Source organism: Homo sapiens, chromosome 20, assembly GCF_000001405.40.
Source record: "Homo sapiens chromosome 20, GRCh38.p14 Primary Assembly".
Classification (NCBI taxonomy): Eukaryota; Metazoa; Chordata; class Mammalia; order Primates; family Hominidae; genus Homo; species Homo sapiens.
In genome coordinates, this window is record NC_000020.11 from 50,308,410 (window position 1) to 50,326,186 (window position 17,777).

Sequence of the window (17,777 nt, forward strand, 5' to 3'; positions counted from 1 at the left end):
TTCAAGTCATTATGACTCTGCAGCTGGGTGACCTTGGGCAAGTCCCTTCCCTTCTCAGACCCTGAGTCTCTTCTTTCCTAAAATAAGTGTGATAGCTTCCTACCTGCCCTGTCTAGCTCACAGGATTATGGTCTGGCTCCAAGACATCACGGCTATCATTTATTAAGTCCCTCCTGTATGCAAAGTCCCTCTTCCTGACCACCCTGCCTCCTTCCAGGAGGGAACTGGATGCTGCTTGTTTTCAGGACAGGACAGTGAGGCTGGGGAGGTGGCGGAGGATGCTGCCCAGGGAGAGGAGGAAGTAGGGGGCTGGGGCTGGCTGGGCTGACGCAGCTGTGATGTCAGACACCCGCCACAGGCAGCCGGCCCAGTGCTAACTGTGCGCTCTCTGCTGGTCTGGCCTGGCGCCTGCCCCCTCCTCCCCCCGCCACCCCCCTTAACCCCTTCCCGGCCTCCTCTTCCCAGACGGCCATCCCCCAGGCCCAGCCTTGCCCACAAGATTCCCAGATTTCACAACTGGGGCTGGCGCTGAATCATGTACAGTAAGTCCGGGGAGAGAAACTCCCGGCTGCCTGGCGTCCCCGGGACAGGACAGCTGCCAAGCCTGCCCTCCCTCCCAGGGGCCCACCGGCAGCCAGGGATCATCCCCTCTGGGCCCCTGACCAGCTAGGGGGTGATGGGCGAGACACACAACCTCCCTTGGCTGTGCCAGGGATCAAGGGACCGTGTGGTTTCCAGGGAACCTTCAGGCTCTGGAGGGATAGGGGCAGGCCAGGGTGGTGGGAGAGGGGTCGAAGTGGCCTTGTATTCAACCACGGCCTGCCACCAAATCACTGGTGACCTGGAGCAGTCCCTAACTGTAACTCTAAGTTACGGTTTCCTTATCTGGAAAGTGGGGATAATCACAGCCCTGACCTCACAGGTGGCTGGAAGGACTCTGAGAAGATCTGTGTACAGTGCTTACCGCAGGAAGCGCCCAATAAATATTATTATTATTGTTGTGACGTCGAGCTGGTCATGACACGCTTTAAGACCCTGGAGAAATCATCCAGTTCTTTGGAGGACGTCTCCCCTGAAACACCCACCCCTCCCGCTGTGATACAAATTACATCTTATCTTTTCAAAACTTCTTCAGTACATCAGCAAACATTTATTGAGCACCACTGTGTTCCGTGCCTGCTACCAGGTCCTGGAGATACAGCAGTGGACAAAACAGAAAGACATTTAAAAGCCCTCTGTTCTCGTGGAGCCTGTATTCTAGCTGAGGAGAATCAGACATTTGAGGTCATTTCAGTAAGTGAGCAGGGCTCCAAAGGAAATAAAGCAGAAGGTGCGATGGAGAGAGCCTGGGAGGTCCCCTCTGATGGGGTGACATTTGAACAGAAGCCCCAACAAAGAGGAGAAGCCCACGTGCAAAGGCAGGGGGTGGGAAACGGTGCTCCAGGCAGAGGGAACCGCAGGTGCTAAGGCCAGGCTGTGGGATCCTCTTGTTGAAGGCTCAGCAAGGGCAGTGTGGCTGGAGCAGAGGGAGTGAGTGAGGGGCAGAGGGGTGGGAGGTGAGCTTAGTGGGGCCCCCACCCTGGAGCAGCTCTCCTAATGCCAGGCTCTTCCTGAAAGTGGCCACCTGGTGCCTGACTTCTACCTGTAGGGGCAGCCACCTGACAAGGGCCCAGCTTCTTCCCATCCGGGGTCCCAAGGCCCCGGAGCTGCCTGCTCACAGTAGAAAGCCTCATTCCCAGGAACCCCACGGAGGGCCAGGCTCCCCGCCCCTGCCCTTTGCTCAGGCTGCCGCTGGGACTCCCCTGCCCCTCCCGGAGGATGTGACCCTCCCTGCCTCTCAGCCGCTCAGAGTGTGGGCATCTGCATCTCGGAGTCTCAGTGTGCCCACCTGTGAGATGGGCACCATGTTGCCTCAGGGAGGGAGTAAAAGGAGGAAGGGAGCTCTGGCCTTAGTATCTGTCCCCTGAACCCTGGAAGAAGGAAAACATCGGGGCTCACTGGGGACCAGGCTGTGCGTTCATAGCTGGACGGAGAGCTCAGGCGTGTGTATGTGCGTGTGTGCATGTGTGTGCATCTGCGTGTGTGTGCATGTGTGTGTGTGCACGTATGGGGTGGGGGAGACGGGGGTGGCATCAAGACCCAGGAGCCACAAGAGTGAGGAAGAGGGAAGGGGTGGGCTTCCAGGGACAGGGGGCAGTCAGAGCCTGGTTCTGGCGCCCAAGTGGGGATTGGGGCAGGGGGAATAAGAGGCCTGCCCTCCCTCCTGGGGGCCCAGCGGCAGCCAGGGATGATTTCCTGGGATGTTTTAAAAATCATTTATTTCTAGAAAAGTCTTTCATCATTTCCCTTCAGGTCACGGAGGCTGAGATGGCTGACGGGGTAGGTGGCTGTGGCCTGATGTGTCACTTTTGGCCTCAAACTGAGGCAATGGGGACGAAGTGGCTGCGAGGCGCAGTATCTGGCATATGTGTGAGAAACAACCACAGTGCCCTGGGGAGGGGCCACGTCCTCACCCCGCACCGCCAGGGTCTCAGCGTGTCTCCCAAAGGTCATGTGGGCCTTTAAGAGGTGGTTGGGTCCTGAGAGCTCTGCCCTTATGAATGGATTAGTATCATTATTGCAGGAGTGGCTTCATGATGGAGAGAGTGGATTTGTCATGAAAGTGAGTTCGGCCATTCCTTGCTGTCTCACGTGCCACCTCTTGCCATGGGATGCCCTCGCCATGGGATGACAGCAAGAAGGCCCTTGCTTGAGTGAGCCCCTCCATCTTCGGCTCTCCGGCCTCCAGGACTGTTAGAAATACATCTCTGTTCTTTGTAAATTACCCAGGCTGTAGTACTCTGTTATAGCAACACAAAACAGACTAAGACACTACTATGTAGATGAAGAAACAGGCCCAAGAGGTGAGGAGTGTTGTCCAGGTCTTCTGGCCAGAGGAGCGGCAGAGATGGGATTTCAACCCTGGGACTGTGTGGCTTGTGACCACTCCTAGCTTCAGCCCTGCCCGGTGCTGAGGGGTTTGGGGCCAGAACGATGGCCAGATGTTTGGGCACACTGGGCCCTACCCACCTGGAAAGAGGCTGGCCTGGGGTTGAATGAGAACCAGAAGTGACTCAGGCTAGGACCCCTCTGCACCCTCCCTCAGGCCGTGGGTAATTACCTGCCCAGGTTAATAGCGCCCACTTCCCGCCACCTTTCATCAAGGCTCCTGGAGCTGCCAGGCAGTAATTAACCCTCACAGCACCCTTCTGAAGTCAGCACTGGAGGCAGACGTGTGATGAAACACGTTTATTACAGGTAGGTAAACTGAGGCAGAACCCATTGCAGCCTGGGAGCCTAGCCTGTTGTTCCCCTGTGACTCAGCAGCTCAATCAATCTCTGCTTTCTTCCCACAGGAAGCACCAGTTAGCCCAGATGCTTCTCATCTTTGGAGTTGAGCTGCAGGCTGGAGACCTGGAAGGCCCTCGCAGCGCCTGCTCCCATCCTCTCACCTCACGAAAGCGCAGGAATGTGGGTTTGGAGCCAATGAAAAGTACTGGAATCTGGCTCTGCTCTGTGACCCTGGACAAGTCACTGCCCCTCTCTGGGCTTCAGTTTCCTCCTTGGTAACACAGAATGATTATACCTACCCCTTGGGTTTGTTGACCTGAATCTACCCCTCAGTCATTGCCTTTCCTTCTTGCTGCAGCCACACTGGCCCCTTGACAGTTCCTTGAACACAACAAGCCCTTTCCCACCTCAGGGCCTTTGCATGTGCAGTGCCAGATGCCTGGAATGTCCTTCCTTCCAATCTCCCCATGGCCGGCTCATTCTCATCTTTCTTGGCTCAAATGTTACCTCCCCAACCTAGACAGCACCGCTGCCACCTCTTCACCCCGTCTTACTCTTCTTCAAGCACTTCTGGAGGTATCTTGCTATTTATCTTGTTTATATCTTTTTCAGCTCCATGAGGGCAGGGGATTTTGTCTGTTTCATTCACAATGTGTTCCCAGAGCTCAGCACAGTGTCAGGCACACACTAGGTGAGTAAGAAACAATTGCTTCCTCTACCTCTTCCCCTGCTAGCCCCAAGTTCAGCTAACTGGCTGTGTGACCCTGGGGATTGCTTTTCACCTCTCTGGTCCCTTATTCTCCCTTGTGGACAAAGGATGGCCTGGGCATGAGTTTCTTCAAGGACTCGGGTAGCAGTGAAATCCCTGGGACCCTAGCCTCAGTACCTCCCCAGGCAATGGGGTAGAGAGCAAGAAGGCAGGTGAGCAAGGACCAGCCTCCGCCACGCAGACACCCTCTTTCCGGCTTCTCTGTCCTCCTACTTTGCCCTGGGTTTGTGGACTTACTCTGGGCAGATCTCCACGACCAACCACCCCCTCCCTTGGCATGTCTGTCAGCACCCTTGGGGGAAAGAATTTGGAAAGGGGAGGGAGAAAAAGAAAGCAGGGTGCGAGGGGCTGGTTCCCACACCTGTGTAAATAATTTGTCATCTTAAAATGCTCAAGTATGCTCACCTTTAATGCCTGGTTCTTGGGCTTATTTTCCTTGGCAAGGCCCCCACGGGAGTGGAATTTCGGCCAAAGGGAGCCCAGTTGTCATCTTCTAAACATGTTCCCAGGCCGGGGGCCGGGGAGGGCTCTGGCTGATGCTCCACTTCCGTCCCCAGAAGTGCTGGAACGTTCCTGGGATCTAGGGAGCTGACTCCAGTCCTGGAAGCTGTCCCAGAATTCTGGAATGTTGGAATTCAAACGGCCTCCTGCCCATTTTCCGGAGGAGGAACATAAGACCCAGAGAGGGGAAGGGGTTGGCCTGAGGTCATACAATGTGCAGAGACGAGCTAGAGTTTGCTGGGAGAAGGTGCGGGTGTGTGGACAAGTCAGCATCTATCTCCCATTTTCAGGTAACAGCACCTCGACTTCCTACTGAAGAACCCCCTCTTCCCTTTTCTCAGTCCATGAGGCTGGGGGTGCCCAGAGGCCTCTGTCTCCAGGGGTGGACATGTGACCGGGTCTTGCTCTAGTGATTGGTCCAGGGATGGGCACATGACTGAGCCTGCCCAATGAAACTTGATCTTGGGACTTCAGGGTTGGCCATGATTTGTGAAGGAGATGCCATTTTCCATTGGATGGACAGTGAGCAAGTGAACGCTTAGAGAAGAAGAGGACAAAACAAGGGAAAAGCCTGCCTGACAGGAAGCAGCACAGAGCTGGACAGGCTTTGAACTCCTGGATCCCACTGTACCTGAAATTAGGCACCTTCAACTTTCTAGTTATGTGAGCCACTGTCTTTCCCATTTTTGGCTGAAAACAGTTGGGACTGGCTTTCTGTCCCTTGCATACAGAAGGTGCTGACTGACCCCTGCCCCATGGAAGAAGATACTCCAGGCAGAGGAAATAGTGTGTATAGACACCCCTAAGCGAATGCCAAGCGGGGCACTCATGTACCAAGAAGAAGGAGGAGGAGGCACCTGGGAGCTGAGCTTAAGAGTTAGTCGGGTGGTCAAGGTGGGAGAAGGGGGTATCTTTAGCAGAGGGAACAACCATTGCAAAAGCTTGGAGGGGTGACTAGTTAGTGAAGATCAACTGTGTGCTGAGCTCGTGTTGGGTGGCAAGGGACACAGACGAAAAGGGCACGGTGGAACCCAGCTACTTCTCACCTGCTCCAGCGCAGTGCAGGCTTGTCTGCTTTTGGAGCCGAGCCTGGACACCTCCGTGTCCTTCCCCCGGCAGAGTGCTGCCAGCACGCTGTCTCAGACTCTCCAGCATCTCCTGGTTGATGTGCATCATGGGGACCACACAAGATTATTTTATAGGCTGCACAGGCAAAGCATAAAATCACCTCGGGTCACATAGCGAGAGTTATTCTCTCTGCAAATTCTTTACAGTCTTTCCTTTATATCCAGAAGAGTCTCTGTGTGGTGCTAACTTGCCTCGAAGACCAAATAATTGCTAGTCTCCCTTTGTGAAAAGGAGAGCAGGTGTCAGGCTCATTCATGTCTCAGGCACACAATTGTATCTAGCTAGACTTTTCAAAATGTCCTATAGAGCTGCAGCACATATGAATGAGGTGTCCAGCTGGTCCCAAACCTGTAATCGGCACCCCAGTGAGCAGACTGGACATCCCCACCCCCACAGCTGCCCTTTCTCCCCTCCACTCATGTTCCCTCTAGGGCCACCACGATCCCGACTTGTATCACCACAGATGAGTTTCACATGTTTTTGAATTTTACATCTTATCTGTTTTCTGTTCCTATACAAGTTTGCCTTTTTTGAATTCCATATAAGTGGGATTCTACAATGTGTTATCTCAATTTGAGTCTGTTTTTTTTTTCCTGCTCAGCATGATGTTTTTGAGATGCATATATGCGGTTTTGTGTATCTGTAGATGGTTCTTTTTTATTGCAGAATAATGTTCCAGGGTATGGATGTACCAAAGCTTGTTCATCCATTCACCAGCTGAGGGATATTTGGACTGTTTCCAGTTTTCAGCCATTATAAATAAAGCCACTAGAAACATTTGCAAACAGGTTTTTATGTGAACATAAATTTTTGTTTATCTTGGGTAAATTTCTAGGAGTGGAATTGCTGGGCCAGGTGGCCAAGTGTATGTTTCACTTTATCAGAAACCGCTGAGCTGTTTTCCAAGGTGTCTGTACCATTTTTCATCCCTACCAGCAATGTATGAAAGTGTCAGTTGCTTCGTATTCTCACCAGCACTTGGTGGTGTTAGTTTTTTGTGTGTGTACATGTGTTTTACTTTTAGTCATTCAAATAGGTGATAATAGTATCTCATTGTGGTGTTAGTTTGCATTTCCCTAATGACTAATGATGTTGAACATCTTTGTATGTGTTTCTTTGCCATCCGTATATTTTCTTTGGTGTAGTATCTGTTCAAACTTTATGTCAGTTAAAAAAAAAGACCCAATTGTTTTCTTCTTAATAGATTTGGAGAGTTCTTTATATATATTCTGGATACTAGTCAAGCCTTTGTGAAATATGTGATTTGCAAATATTTTCTCCTGTTCTGTGGCTTGTCTTTTTATTCTTTCAATAGGTAGACTTTAATAACATCGTTTTGTTTTCTTTTTAAGTATTTTTCTGGTTATCTTTGATTTGTGGCATGTATTCTTTGGTTTTTCAATTTTAGTGATAACACCAAATGTTTTCTTTTAAAATGAATTTATTTAAGTAAAAACGTCAGTAAATTTGAAGAAACACATTAAATAAGGAATAGTAGAAGTGGACAGTAGACAGCATAAAAATCGTGAAGGCAGTTTCCAATTTGCATAACCAAAGTGTGGGCAGCTCCGATTCGTTCGTCAACAAATACTGATGGAGCCCCCACTGTCCACCAGGCTCTGAGCCAGGTGCTGGGGACACAGCACCAAGCGAGATAGTTGTTTGCTCTTTTAATGCTGGTTTTTCTCCAGTGAGTCTCTCTTCATCTTTCAAAAGCCAATTTGAATGACCCTTCCTTCATCCAGACCTTCCCTGGAATGTTTGTCACACTCTACTGCAAATTTCTATTTCTGTATCTCCCAGGCAAGGGGCATGTCGGGCAGCCTCTGGTAGGGTTGTAGAGAGCTTGGTGCATAGATATCTCAATAAATAGCCTCTCACATAGTACAAGCTATGATGAGGTGCTGAAGACCAGTTGCTGATTCAATTGGTTGAAACTAGCCAGGCCTGATGAAGGGGCCTGAGGACCTTCCCTGCTGCAGTCTGGCTGACCCCAAGCAAACCAAAGTCTCTCCCCTTGGCCTCCCCTCCCACATAAAGATACCAAGAGAAAAAGCCTCCCAAACCCACTGCCTTCAGCCTCTGCTATTTGCTTCCCATCCAGTGCCCATGGATGCCTTTCCTGCAAGACACAGTATTCACACAGACACTTACCAGGCATCTTTGTTCTGACCTGCCCCAGGACCACCACTTTCACCTTGGCCTCTTACCACCATTCCCCTGTTCCTCCACTCCAGCACACCAGCCAGTGTTTGCCCCTCCAACATGCCCAGCTCATTCCCACCCCTGGGCCTTTGCACTAGCTCTTCCCTAGTTCTTTGCCTTCTCTAGCTCTCCACATTCAGTTCTGAACTTCACTGACCCTCCTCAGAGGCTCTCTAGGCTATGCTACCAAAGCCCTCTCTCCTCTTTTTTTTTTTTTTTTTTTTTTTTTTTTTGAGACAGGGTCTTACTCTGTCACCTAGGCTGGAGTGCAGTGGTATAATCATAGCTCACTGCAGCCTCCATCTCCCAGGCTCAAGTGATCCTCCTGCCTCAGCCTCCTGAATAGCTGAGACTACAGGTGTGTGCCATCATGCCCAGCTATATACATATATTTTTAAAGTAGGGATATACTCACTCACTGAGCTCAGTATGTAGCTCAGGCTGGTCTCAAACTCCTGAGCTCAAACAATCCTCCCACCTCGGCCCTCCAAGTGCTAGGATTACAGGCGTGAGCCACTGTGCTCAGACACCCCATGTATTTTTGATCCCTTCATTCTGTTTCTGTCCTTTGTAGCATGGAATGCTCTCATTTCCGAGTTTATTTGTGTGTTTGTTTGTTTCTCGCCGTGTCCCCTGTTGGAGTGGCAGTTCCATGAGGGATTTGGGTCTGTCCTTCTCTCTATCTCCCCAGTGCCTAGCACAGTGTTCAGCACACAGTCGGTACTCAATCAGAATTTGTTGAATCTATGAGTGAATGAATGAATGAGCTCATGAGCTCTCCCTTCTCCAGATGCACTCACGGCAAAGTTGAACCCATCTATCTGCCCATGCGTCAGGCTAGTTGTCCTGTGGGCCCCTCCTGGGTGGGTACTGAGGGATGCCCACTGGGTCCAGCCAGGCCTGTGTCTTGTCAGCTGCCCAGGCTAAGGGACTTTCCATTGTCCTTGGAGTTGGCCTGTGGAAAGTTGTTCTCAGGACCTCGTGAGCCTGGGGCCATGGATGGGGCTAAAGGTAACTGCAAGGTATAGGGACCCGGCGTGAAATTCCATCAGTTAACACTGTAAGTGAGGCTTTCCAGCTCCCTTTCGTCCTCCCTGTGATGCCAAGGGGAGGGAGAAACTCCACGTGGGGCTTGTGTGTCTTGAGCACCTTCCTACCACCTGCTTTTTCTTCGGAAGAAACAGAGCAGATCCCAAGTACAAGCCGTCATCGGCAATAGTAGCTGGCTTTGTTTCACTTTTTTGTATATTTCACCAATTGTCTTCCATTTGCAGCAAGTGCCTTAGATTGGGTGCCTGCAAGCAGACCTTAACAGAATAAACTGAAGGCAAGTAGCCTATTTGGGAGATGCCTCCAGAAAGCACTGGTAGGGAAGTGAGATCAGGGAGGAAGGGCTGCCAATCTCAAGAGCGCTACCAAGCCAGTAACCACTTAGGCAGCTGGGGCTCGGTCCTGCTGTGGCACGCTGGGAGCCCATGTAGTAACGGAGTTAGCCCCCCAGGGGCGGAGATCGGGTGGTCAGGGAGCTGGGGAAGGGACATGTCAGCTCCTGCCTATCATTGCTTGACAGCTGCCGCTTGGAGTGTTAGTTCCCAGCACATCCAGCCTGCCCCATGAGCAAAGCTCACAGGTGAAGGGGACAGGTGCTGCAGGTGGAATCCTGTCTGTGTTCACCGGAGAAAAGGGAGAGGAGGTATGGGCAGGGCACAGACAACAAAGGCCTCACAGTCAACACTGGTTCCTCATTTAAAGCCAGGATAAAATGAGTTCATTTAAAATTAAGTTTTCGCAAACATTTAAAAAGCGAATTGATGGAAAGAGTAGGTAATACCTGCAGGTGAAATGTGAACATGGCAAATGCTGCTATTTTTCAAGGCGTCCAAAGCCTTTAATAGGCAAACAGTGTTCTTCACGACCCACAAGAATGGCGTGTTTGGGGCGGTGAAAACACTCTCCCTTTCCTCCCAGCATGCCAGGCTCATGCTCACTCCTAACACTGCCCAGGACCCCTGGGAGTCCTGGAAATGGGCCATGAGGCTTGGAGGCAGAAGCCCTGTGTGACTTGGGGTTTGTCCCTTAACATCTCTGGGCCTGTCTGTTAAAAGGGGATGTTCTCAAGTCACATAAAAGAGTAAATGTGCAAAAATAGTCAAAGCAATGCTGAAAGAAGAACTAAGAGAGAGGACTTGTCCGTCCAGACATTAGAATATATGACAAAGGCATAGAAATAAAACAGTTTGGTATTGGCATCTAAGTGGACAAATACATCACGGGAACAGAATAGCATCCAGGAATTAACCCGGCTATCACCTGGCCTACCTCCACTCATAGATGTGAAAGGATTTAGAAAAGGGAAGAGATTGGCAGGCATGGGATTCTCTGGATTATGTTATGTCTGGGCTGGTGAAGAAGCTTCCAACAGGCTCCCCATCTGCAGCCCTCCCCTCTAACCTACCAGCCATGGCACCAGGGACACTCACTGTCATGAGCTGCACTCACCCCCGCTCTGCTCTGGAAATATCAGAGCCTCCCACGCAAGATGGGTTAGACCACAGTTGTCACCATTCCTCCTTTTGCACTTCTCTTTGATTCTTCTGATTAACCCAAGGAGAAAGTCTCAGGCGGGCGCGGCTGGACTTGAATACCTCTCCCACGTTTGCTCGTCTCCCTTTATGAGGCAGAGCTGGCCTTAAGCTCAGGGCCTTCAGCAGGCAGGAGAATGGAGCAAGAATTTGGTAACGTTCTTTTGTGATTGTTGTTTTAAGGTTACTTTCTCTTTACAGAAATGAAAAGTTGTTTCCTCCTTCTGATAGTAACACAAATTTTCCTTTTAAAATAATTTTTTCTAATCCATATTACAATGAGAATGAACCTCCAAAACATGATGCTAAGTGAAAAAAGCCAGACACAGAGGTCTTTTTTTTTTTTTTTTTTTTTTTTTGAGACAGGTTCTTGCTCTGTTGCCCAGGCTGGAGTGCAGTGGTGTGATCTCGGCTCATTGCAACATCTGCCTCCCAGGCTCAATGATTCTCTCACCTCAGCCTCCCCAGTAGCTGGTACTACAGGTGCGTGCCACCACACCTGGCTAATTTTTGTATTTTTTGTAGAGGCAGGGTCTCCCTATTTTGCACAGGCTGGTCTCAAACTCCTGGGCTGAAGAAATCCTTCCGCCTCAGTCTCCCAAAGTGCTGGGACTACAGGCGTGGGCCACCATGCCTGGCCAGAAGGTCACATATTGTATGATTCCCTTTCCAGGAAATCTCCAAAATAGGTACATCCATTGAGACCAGTGAAGAATGGTGGTTGTTAGGGGAATGGGGAGCGGCTGCTTTATGGTCACAGGGTCTCCTTTTGGGGTGATGAAAATGTTTTGTGATTAGCTAGAGGTGATGGTTGCAGAACACAATGCAAAAATGCCACCGAAATGTTCACTTTAAAATGCTTAATATGATGCTATGTGAACTTCGTCTCAGTAAGTTATTTTTTTAAAAAACCAGTGGAGTAAACCAAAAAATCAATTTACTTAAGAAAAGGTATGAATGGCTTTAAAGATGGCTTTTAAGTGACGTGTGGGAGACAGTGGCTAAGGGGATGATTCTCACCCATCGTGAGCCTGGGACCATGGATGGGGCCAGAGGTAGCTGCAAGGTACAGGGACCCGGCGTGAAATTCCATCAGTTAACACTGTAGGTGAGGCTTTCCAGCTCCCTTTCGTCCTCCCTGTGATGCCAAGGGGAGGGAGAAACTCCACGTGGGGCTTGTGTGTCTTGAACACACATTGGCTTATACCTTGCTCAGGCCTGGAAGGCCCTCTGCTCACTGACGGAATCCTATGCATCCCTGGGAACCCAGCTCAAGCCTCACCTCTACGGGAAGCCCTTCCTGATTACACAGGTGGTCAGGCGGGGTCAGTCCTGCAGCCCTTCAGACCCGGTTGTGAATCCCAGTCTTGCCACTTACTAGTGGGAGGAGTCTCTTAACTTAGACATATTGTTTGACTAAGAGGGCCTCAGTTTCCTTATCTGGAAAATGGGGGCTTATGATAGCTCTTATCTCACTAGGTTGAGCTCCTACATAGAAAGTTTTAGGACAGAACCTGGGGAGATGTAGCTGCCCTTCATTCACACTTCAGTCTGACACTGATCACATCACAGTTGCATTCCTTTTCCTCCTGTCTCCTACACTGTGGGCAAGGGCTCAGCCTTTGTGATCTCTGTATCATGTTGCTGTACAGAACTCACACACAGTAGGCACCCAAGAAGGGCGGGTTGGCTGACGTGCAGAGGAACTCCCAGAATTCCACCTCTTCTCTCACCTCCACGGTCCCCACCCTGGTCCAGACCCTGCATGGCTTACCTGGACTATTGTGGTCTCCTCCTCCCTGGTTTCCTGGCTTCTGTCCTGAATCCTCCACCTCCAATCCATTCCCCACATGCAGCCAGAGAGATCCCGTGAGAATCTAAGTCAGATCTCGTCCCTTCTCTGCCTGGAAACTTCCCACAGCTCTCACCTTGCTTAGAGGAAAAGCCAAAGTCCTTCCCGTGGCTCATCCACTGTGGGACATGCCCCAGGTCCTCTCTGCTCTCTGTTCCTCCTCCCCAAGGCCTCATCCCTACGACAGTCTCCTTGTTGTTGCTCCGACACTCCAGGCTCCACCTCAGAACCTCGCATCTGCCGTTCTGGTTTCCTGGAGCACCCATTACCCCACACGGCCCGCTGCTCACTTCCTCACCTCCTCCAGGCCTCTGCTCAAATAGCACCTGCTAGGGAAGCTTCCCCCTGCTTCCCAGGTTTTGCTGGACTCCAAAGCTCTTTTCTTCCCAGAGGCAAAGCCCTTGGCTGGGGTCCTGGGCCCAGCCCGGTGACTCAGGCGGAGAAGATGCTCCCAGGCCTCCCGCTGGATTTGGGGCCCAGGGTCAGCCATGGGGGTAGGCGGTACCTAGGCTGTACCTGGCGCAGAGGCCTCTGCCTGCCCCTGCCGTGGGAGGCAGCCCTGCCCTGCACACACGGGCTTCCAGGCTGCGGGTGGGAAAGCCCCACATCCTCCTCTGCTTACCTGACTCCAGCTGACTCAGACCCCCAGCCCTGGCCAGAGGGGAGCCGCAGCTGCTCCGCCCCTTGATGGGAAGCAGAGCTGTGGCTGTGAGGGCCTGGCTGGGCCAGACACTGACTCACCTCTCTCTATCCCGCCCCTGCGCTGGGAGCCACGCCTCCCTCTGGCCAGAACCTCTTGGCCTTCTGCTGTGGGAGCTGCCCCAGGCGGAGTCTTCCCGAGGGGTGCCTTCTTCTGCCTCTGGGGGCCTTTCTGTTCCTTCAAGGCCCAGTTTGAGGGCCATCTCCTGCTAGGAAACATCAAATGCCCTCTGGCCAGAAGGGGAAAAGGATATGGGAGAGGTAAAATAATGATAATAATACCAGCAACAGTAATGAAAACAACTGTTATACAAGAATAATAGCAGCTAGCCATGCTCACTGTGTGCCAGGCACTGTGCTAAACACTTCACATTTTAACTCATTCAATCCTCACAATAGTCCTATGAGGTAGGAACTCTCATTTCCCAAGGCACAGAGTGGTCAGTATCCAGCCCAAGGCTACCAGCCAGCCAGTGGGAGGAAGGGATGTGAATCTAGGCAGCTGGACATTGAGTCGCATTCTCACCCCCAGCTCTGAGAACCGAGTGGAGGCCCCCGAGGCTGGAACGCAGGGAGCTGGGAGGGAGGGGAGCCAGGTCCTGGGCTCTGTTCCAGTGCCCGTCCCCACAGTGGGATTTTAAGTCTCCCCAGGCAGAGGCCAGCCCCCTCTCTCCAGGGGAAGAACCTCCCAGAGGGAGGGCCCTGCCGCAGCACAGGCTGGTGCTTGTTCCCTCCATTGGAGTGGAGCTCAGAGCAGAGGGTCTGGGCAGTCTACCAACATTGCCCAGCCCCAAGTGATGCCAGCCCCTGCTCTGGGCAGCCACCAAACAGGAATTCACACAGGTAGGGCAGGGACCATGGCGTGGGCACTTAACCCATTCACCCTGCCAGCCACACTGTGAAGTGGGGACAGTACAAACATCCGTTTTACAGAGGAGGAGACTAAGGCTCAGGGTGGCAGGACTTGCTCAAGGCCACAGAGGCAGAACATGGTAGGAGCGAATTCAAACCCAGGATTGTTCTGATGCCACACGGTCAGAGTCCCTTCTACTGGGTGGTGACACAGCATCTCAGTGAAGAACAGGGCAGGGTGGGAAGGAGACGCAGGAAAAAGCCTGGAGCCTCAGTTCACATCACCCTCTCCCTCTGGCCTTCCACTAACCTGAACTCACCAGTCCATCTTTTCATTCCTTTACCCATACCTCCACCTACCTACTCATCCACACATTCATCCGCCATCCAAACATCTCTCCATCTGTCCTTCCATTATTCCATCTATCCTTTCCATCCAACTCTCAGCCATCCCTCCACCCATCAAGACTTCCCTCCACCTGTCCTTCTATTCATCCACCCATCCATTCTTCTATTCCTCCTGCCTTCTATCTATTCAACCTTCCATTCATCCATCTGTCCATCAGTTCAAATATCATCTATCCACCTCTCCTTCCTTCCAACCTCCAATCCATCCATCCAACCGTCCGCCCACCCATTCATCCATCCACTCATCCACCCACACATCCATCCATCCATTCATCCGCCCACCCACCCACTCATCCTCACATCCATCTACACATCCATTCATCCATACAGCCCACAAATGTCTATTTGAATGACAGCTGTGATGCCCAAGCCTTGGGGTTGCCGTGCCTTGAGCCAGGAGAAACATGCCTAATTAGGTTTCTGTTTATTTGTTGTTCCAAGAAGGCTAATTGTGGGCTTTGTAAACAGCCCTTTGATGGCTGAGGAGTTACTTTAGGAGGACAGTTAAATAAACAATCACTGGGTAGAAAACAGTTAGTGCTGGTACACGGCGGGTCCGGAGTCATGGCCTGCCTTACAGAGGAGGGGTGAGACTGAGTTCCAGACAGTGCAGAGCTTTGAGTCAGAGTGATGGGAATGCTGGCAGTAACAGCTCATCTGTGTTGGGTGCCTACTGTGTGCCAGATGCTGTGCCAAGGGGCCCTCACAGCAACTCCAGGTGATGGCAACCATTATGGCACCAATTTATGGGTAGGGAGACTGAGGCTGGGGAAGAGGAAGCTGTGTGTCCAGGTTCGCATGTCTGAGAAGTAGCACAGCCATGACACTGATCTAGACCTGTCTCTGTGCAATAATAATGATAATAATAACAAATAATTACATGGTACTTACTATGTGCCCGGCACTGTTCTAAGAGCCTTCTTTACCTGTACCCTATGAGGTCAGAACTAAACATCATCCCTGTTTTACAGATGAGAAAACTGAGGTTGGAGACATGAAGCAACTTGCTGAGAATTTGTAAAAATTAATTATCTGGGCCTAAAGTCTTACTCTTGATCATGTTATTCAGTGGAATGCACTTTCTATGCATTTAACTCAGATCCAGCCATACATGATCTGCCAGACAGTTTTAAAAAAATAATTGTTCTTGTACTTTATATCTCTAAAAATACTACAAAATTATAACTTATGTGTTTTTTATTACTTGCTGCTGAGGTTGGTAAAATGTTTCTGTAAAGAGCCAGATAATAAATGTTTTAGGATTTGTGGGCCAGACCCTCTTTATTGCAACTACTTAACTCTGCCGTGGTGCAGGAAAACAGCCACAGACTGTATGTCAGTGAATGTCTGTGACAGTGTGCCAATAAAACTTTATTTACAAAAACAGGTGGTGGGTCAGGTTGGGCTCAAAGGCTGTAGCTTGCCAGCCCCTGACTTTGCAGTACGCATGTATTTGTATTTACCAAACCATGTTCTCTGCCCTTTTATGAATGAGATAAAAGCTTTTCAAGCATGATTTCAACCAGGCCATTTCACCTCCAGGCCATTTGCTCACCACATGCCCTATACACTGTTTAGCAGTTTGCCCACTATTGGCAATTTTGGAAGGAATTTGCAAATTACTTGAATTAACCTGATTTCTTCATTTGCAATATCAGTAAATTAATGACACCTGTGAGGGGCACTCAACTTGGCCGTCACCCCAGCAGGGACACTGAGGTTGCTTCACTCCAAATCTGTAAACTTTAAGCTTGATAAAAAAAATTGAAAAGTGAAAGTGAGGAGTTCTGTGGCTGGGGTTCTATTACTGTTTTCTATTGGTGACAAGAACAAGGAAATGAAAGGATGATATGGGAGGGGTATTACAAAATGTACTCAGGGCTAGTGGGAAGAGAACGGAGTAGTGTCAGAAAGATCCCTTTTCCCCGTTATCCCCACCTTCTTCCCATCAGTGTTCATTTCCCAACCTCAGAAAAGTTGTGAGCCTGGGTAAAACAGTATGTGGCCACTCCAGAGTTAAAAGACAAATGGTAACCTAGGTAAAAATATTTGAAACATAAATGTAGACAATGAATTTATTTCCACAATATATAAAGAGTTCCTGCAGAACAATAAGAAAAAAACCACAAACCCACTAGAATAATGGGTAGTGGATGTGAATAGGCAATTTACATAAAATACAGATGGCAAATAAACATGAAAGATGTTCAACCATGCTGGTAATCAGGCAAATGCAAATTAAAACAACAATGCGAGAACATTTCCCATGCCTCAGGTTGACATGAATGAGATTGGTGATGTAAAGTGTTAAGGAGACTGGGAAACGGTCACACCGATATACTGCCGGTGGCAGTGTAAATTGAAACAGCCTCTCCGGAAGACAATTTTCACAGTAGCCAGTAAAACTGTAAGTTCACATTTTTGGGGGAAACACTGCAGTTCCTTGATGTGGCATCTCCCTTAGTGAAACATCCACACACAGGCACAGGGAGTATGGTCAAGATGGTCACTGGGAGCAACCTAAATATCCATCAGTTGAGGAAGGGTTAAACACCCTGCAGTGGTCTGAGGCTCCCCATCTTTTGAAGCACAGTCTGCACACCTCCATCACTGATGTTGAACCTGCTAGGTGCTCACTCTTCCAAGCATCCCTTGCAGCTAGGGGGTGGTCACGTGACCCAGGTGCCACCGATCAGACGTGCTCACTGAGACCTGGAAGCAGGGATAGTTCAGGGGCAGCAGAGAGGGCCCACCGATCCAGTGTTGTGTGTGATTTGGGGTACTGTCCCTGCTGACCTTAAGCCTGGTTCTGCAATCCTCCCAGGCTCCTCAAATCCCTTATTTTATTTTGAACTTTCACTGAAGTATAGCACACATAGAGAAAAATGCATAGGTCGTAAGCGATAACTTCATGAGCCTTCATAAGTGAGTACACTTGTGTAACCAGCCCTTCATCAAGAAACAGAATATTCCAGTTCCCTTAAGCTTCCCTTAATGCCCTCTTCCAGTCACGACTTCCCCGAGGCTAACCAAGGCGAGTTGTGTCTATTTCTAGTGCTTTATATAAATGGAATCAAATGATGTGTGCTTGTTTGTGTCTGGCCTCTTTCCCTTAATGTTCAAGTCTTTGAGATTCACCCATGCTGTTGAGTGTGGTTGCAGATCTTTCATTCTCATTGTTAGGCAAAATTCCATAGTTGGAGCAGTGTCTGAGTGTGTCTCTGTTCTTTCATTCATTCTTCTACTGATGGACATTTGGGTACTTTCTAGTTAGGGGAGATTTATGAATAGGGCTGCTATGAATATTTATATGTGTCCTTCTTGGTGAAAATCTGTCTGCACTACTATTGAGTGTAGTCCTCTCATTGGGTCTTATGGCAAGTGTATGTTTCACCTTATTAAGTTGCCAGTGTCTTCTGAAGTGCTTGCACCATTTTGCATTTCTACCAGT

At 50.0% G+C, this 17,777-nt stretch overlaps 2 long non-coding RNA genes across 2 annotated transcripts in view, besides 5 other annotated features; one reads left to right on the top strand and one right to left on the bottom strand.

Annotated features, from left to right (window-relative positions):
- Window positions 1–6,510, top strand: part of LINC01270 (long intergenic non-protein coding RNA 1270) — a 22,200-nt gene extending 15,690 nt beyond the window's left edge. Inside the window, exons 3-5 of the long non-coding RNA NR_034124.1 lie at window positions 3,396–3,605; window positions 3,943–4,021; window positions 4,891–6,510. This is a non-coding gene — a long non-coding RNA (long intergenic non-protein coding RNA 1270). The remainder of the gene's footprint in view (window positions 1–3,395; window positions 3,606–3,942; window positions 4,022–4,890) is intronic.
- Window positions 125–636: an enhancer, noted in NCBI's record as "H3K4me1 hESC enhancer chr20:48925071-48925582 (GRCh37/hg19 assembly coordinates)". NCBI's record gives its function as "activates a minimal SCP1, AML or CMV promoter by ChIP-STARR-seq in primed H9 embryonic stem cells {active_cell/tissue: H9 hESC(primed)}" and the evidence as "EXISTENCE:reporter gene assay evidence [ECO:0000049][PMID:30033119]".
- Window positions 637–1,147: an enhancer, noted in NCBI's record as "H3K4me1 hESC enhancer chr20:48925583-48926093 (GRCh37/hg19 assembly coordinates)". NCBI's record gives its function as "activates a minimal SCP1, AML or CMV promoter by ChIP-STARR-seq in primed H9 embryonic stem cells {active_cell/tissue: H9 hESC(primed)}" and the evidence as "EXISTENCE:reporter gene assay evidence [ECO:0000049][PMID:30033119]".
- On the bottom strand, window positions 2,302–12,933 carry LINC01271 (long intergenic non-protein coding RNA 1271). Its single transcript, NR_109950.1, has 3 exons — window positions 12,666–12,933; window positions 4,505–5,947; window positions 2,302–2,840 (listed from the first exon to the last, which is right to left on the bottom strand). It is a non-coding gene; the product is annotated as a long intergenic non-protein coding RNA 1271 (long non-coding RNA).
- Window positions 12,515–13,099: an enhancer, noted in NCBI's record as "H3K27ac-H3K4me1 hESC enhancer chr20:48937461-48938045 (GRCh37/hg19 assembly coordinates)". NCBI's record gives its function as "activates a minimal SCP1, AML or CMV promoter by ChIP-STARR-seq in primed H9 embryonic stem cells {active_cell/tissue: H9 hESC(primed)}" and the evidence as "EXISTENCE:reporter gene assay evidence [ECO:0000049][PMID:30033119]".
- Window positions 13,100–13,685: an enhancer, noted in NCBI's record as "H3K27ac-H3K4me1 hESC enhancer chr20:48938046-48938631 (GRCh37/hg19 assembly coordinates)". NCBI's record gives its function as "activates a minimal SCP1, AML or CMV promoter by ChIP-STARR-seq in naive H9 embryonic stem cells {active_cell/tissue: H9 hESC(naive)}" and the evidence as "EXISTENCE:reporter gene assay evidence [ECO:0000049][PMID:30033119]".
- Window positions 13,686–14,270: an enhancer, noted in NCBI's record as "H3K27ac-H3K4me1 hESC enhancer chr20:48938632-48939216 (GRCh37/hg19 assembly coordinates)". NCBI's record gives its function as "activates a minimal SCP1, AML or CMV promoter by ChIP-STARR-seq in naive H9 embryonic stem cells {active_cell/tissue: H9 hESC(naive)}" and the evidence as "EXISTENCE:reporter gene assay evidence [ECO:0000049][PMID:30033119]".